This window comes from Homo sapiens, chromosome 3, assembly GCF_000001405.40.
Source record: "Homo sapiens chromosome 3, GRCh38.p14 Primary Assembly".
Taxonomy (NCBI): domain Eukaryota; kingdom Metazoa; phylum Chordata; class Mammalia; order Primates; family Hominidae; genus Homo; species Homo sapiens.
The window spans coordinates 134,054,125-134,057,976 of record NC_000003.12 but is presented as its reverse complement, the minus strand read 5'-3'; the positions used below and the strand labels follow the sequence as shown (position 1 = coordinate 134,057,976).

The window sequence follows — 3,852 nt, the reverse complement described above, 5'->3', positions numbered from 1 at the left end:
GGGGCCTGCTGTGTTCCAGGAACCAGAGCCATTCAGGAACAGCTGATGAGACTAGGAATGAGGAAGTCGCAAAGGTTCCTCTGGGTTTCCATTTCAAGGGGCACAAATTGACCTTTGCCTCCTCGGCCACTTAGGCTTGCTGCTTGCTCCTTGTCCCTTCCCCCAGGGAGGGAGGAGAAGCAGTTTCACTTTTCTTGCCAGTTATTTTCACTTTCAGACTCCCTGAGAAAGGTGAGGCAGGACTGGTGTGATGTGTGCCCGAGTCTCAGGCACTATCGTGAGGGTGCAGGGCCAAGGCAGGTGATCCTGCATGGAGACATTCTAGGTTCAGGGACTGCCTGTGGATCCATGCCAATTGCTGTGATCAGCCAGCCCATCCAGGAGAGAAGCTGTGACTTCCCCAAGCACACCAAGCTGTAACTCTCTGGGTCCTGTCATTTGGGCTGATGAGAAAGCAGCTTCCGAGGAGAGACATGATTCATCCAAAGAGACGATTCATGTGAGAGCCAGCTTTCAGGCCAAGTATTGATGGGAGACATCTGGCTGATTGGCCAACAGCAGGTAGAGGTAGGAGCTAAATTTCCATCCTACATAATAACAGCCTATGCCAGACAGCATAGCTCCCAGCACCTCTGTCCACCCAGAGATGCCTTCCTGGCCCTCCCTGGCCACTTCATTCCTGCCCTCACTGTCCCTTCATGCCTGGTCAGGTGCCAGGCAGGCCCCAGCCAACTGGACAGGCCCCAACCACTTCCAATTGGGCTCCAATCATCTGACAGGCTTCTCCCAGGGTAATCAACCCCTGCTTCTCAGCCTGAGACTTCAACCCTTCAGACAGGCCCTGCCTGCTCCCTGTAGGGTCCCTCCTGCAAAGGCCATGGCAGCAGACCCAGCTTTCCCCTGGGTTATGGATCCCCAGCTCCCCCTGCTCCCAAGTCTGAGTGTGCCTGGACCCTGCTGCACACTCATAATGGACTCTGCATGCTCCAGAGTGCCAACACCACACACACATACACACACACACGCTCTCTCGCTCTCTTTCTCTCTCTCACACACACTCTCAAACACATACACTCGCACACTCACTCACACTCTCATACACACACTCACATGCTCACACTCGTTTTCTCTGTCTCTCACACACATACTTTCACTCTCTCAAACACACACGCTCACTCGCACTCACATACACTCTCTCGTTCTCTCTCTCACACACACCCCCACACACCCACTCACACACTCACATTCTCACACATGCTCACACACACATGCACTCTCACACTCTCCCACCTTTTATAGGTGCTGTGCAGCCTCAGGCCTTCCCCTCCCCCGCTGACTGCCCTGTCTCATGGCCATTGTAAACTGTTCAGTTCTGCCTGAAGCTTGCCCTGCTGGCTGCCCCAGGCCGCCCTCCTGGGCCACTATCTGCGTTTCCAGCCTGTGTTAACAAGATGCATCCTGGTGGGTTCTTGACATTCTTCCAGTTAGAATGAGTATGTTCTGCATTTCAGATAAAACAATGATAGTCTTTCCCAATTCACAGGAGAAATCAAGTTAATAGTAAGAATTCTCTCTCTTTGAGTCCTTCTATTAAATGTTTCACATCTGCAGCCTCAAACCAAGAAACAATCACACATTTGATATAAAGCACCTAGACTCAGTTTACCAACCTTAATCTTTACATTAAATTTGGCTGGTGTTTACTTTTATCCAACTGAAATGCTTCGTGTGTCTGAAATGAAATGCCAGCATGATGACATCTCACTTGTGGAATGAATTAACTGGGCCCCAGATTTAGCAAGTGAAAATATACAAGACACTCAGCTCAACATAATAAATAATACTAGATAAACAATAAATAATTTTTTAATCATAAGTATATCCCAAGTATGGAATATTTGCTAAGTATGGAATCCTTATGCTAAGAAATGGTTGTTTATCTAAAATTCAAATTGAACCAGGCATCAACGTTTGACCTGGTGGTCCTAACCTAGTGCTTACACCCGCTGGCATGAGCCATCACACATCATAGGCTCTGCAAGGAACTTGCAACCCCCATAGCAAAGAGCTGAGTTTGTCAATGGTCTACACTAGAGTGTGGCCTAGGGCTTCTCCTGGCAGTAACCCCGCTGTCTCAGGTTTTAGAGAGTGGGATTACCTCTGGTCAACCCCACTGATACCCAGCCCTCAGGCCCCCGGCGGTCATTGCACGGCCTTATAGGACAGTTTCTAGCTGGATGGTACTGTGAGCTCACACTTCCATAGCCGCTTGTGTTTTTCTTTCTCTTCTTGGCCCATGAATACATTTTTGGAAAGGAAGAAGGCAAGCCCAGTGAAGACAGCATGAGGAGAGCATCCACCTTTTGACATTGCACACAAGCAAGGATGACACCATGACCATCTTTGAAAGGGCAGAGCTGGACTTTTGCATAACATTATTCAGGTTAATGACACCTTGGTACACATCAGTCAATTAAATAATAAATAAAATGTATTGACTCTTAGTCTTCAATAACACCTCTGAGACTTGTTAATAATACTTGTGGATTGAAGATATATAAACAAAATCAATATTTATTGAAAAAATGTTCAACGTTTGAGAACTTAGATTAACCTTGTTAATTGATCCTATAAAGTGTCAAATTTTTGACTGATTTGTTTACTTACATGCTTGTGAAATTCTTTGGGATGGATATTGCTTCCTAATACAATGTTTGTAGCACACTCTGTCCTGTTTGCCTGTTCAGTGTTTTGGGGGAATGTGTCGATACCTGGGTTGGCCTTGGGAGGGGGTCATGGATGTGAACTCCTTCCCTTGATTCAGAGAGTCTGCTGTGGGCTTCCCACTCCTCAGCTTGGAGCAGGTCAGCAGCCACAGTTTCCCTCCACAGCAGCCTTGGCTGGTTGACTTAGAAACCTGCTGGGAGCCTCGCATTTCTTTTTGATGTGGTTTCCCCAAGGAAGCTGGGCCATGAGCTAGATCAGATGGTGAAAGAGCCAGTAGAGAATAAAGGGGTTGCAATGCCTTTTATTTGTGCAGGCAAAGGGTCAGAACGGGAGGGCAGCAGGTGGACCCCAGCTTTGGTAGACTTGACTAATGGACTACCTGTCTACTCTACCCTTGGGGCTCTGCCCTGAGAAATGACTTTGGCAGCTGAGCTCAGAGAGGGAGGCCAGACGCAATGGTTCATGCATGTAATCCCAGCAGTTTGGGAGGCTGAGATGGGTGGATCGTTTGAGGTCAAGAGTTTAAGACCAGCCTGATCAACATGGTGAAACTCCGCCTCTTACTTAAAATACAAAAAATTAGCTGGGCATGGTGGCATGTGCCTGTAGTCCCAGCTACTCAGGAGGCAGAGGCTGCAGTGAGCCAAGATTGTGCCACTGCACTCCAGCCTGGGCAACAGAGCAAGACTTCGTCTCAAGAGGAAAAAAAAAAAAGAGCGGGAAGCCTGGGGCTGTGCCTTTAGGCCATATAATCCAGACAGGCAGCACAACCCAACCCCGTCTAGCATGAGCTGTTCCCCTTACTCTGCTCTGCCTGGCTGGACCTGGGAGAAAATAGTCATCTGCTGGAGCAACACTTGGGAATCCTTCCAGGGCCGTTGGCCTGTAACAACATCTCACAAAGAAGAGTACATCCCATGGCGGCAGGGGGAGAGTAATGGACATGGTTTAACATACACAAACAAACTGTAGTATTTTTGTGAATGGTTATGAGTTTATTTTAATGTAAACTAGAAAAGTGTGACATTAATATCAACAATAATCATTTATTATATCATGGTATATTGCAGAGTGATTTGTTCAGCCTATGCCACATCATCATATTATTTAGCCATTTTAAGTAAC

The 3,852-nt window shown here is 47.5% G+C and overlaps 1 long non-coding RNA gene across 1 annotated transcript, besides 1 other annotated feature; it reads left to right on the top strand.

Annotated features, from left to right (window-relative positions):
- The first annotated feature begins 328 nt into the window (after positions 1-328).
- Positions 329-2,727, top strand: LINC02000 (long intergenic non-protein coding RNA 2000). The gene is made up of 2 exons (NR_135574.1): positions 329-567; positions 2,317-2,727. It is a non-coding gene; the product is annotated as a long intergenic non-protein coding RNA 2000 (long non-coding RNA).
- Positions 1,081-1,887: an enhancer, noted in NCBI's record as "H3K4me1 hESC enhancer chr3:133774934-133775740 (GRCh37/hg19 assembly coordinates)". NCBI's record gives its function as "activates a minimal SCP1, AML or CMV promoter by ChIP-STARR-seq in naive and primed H9 embryonic stem cells {active_cell/tissue: H9 hESC(naive and primed)}" and the evidence as "EXISTENCE:reporter gene assay evidence [ECO:0000049][PMID:30033119]".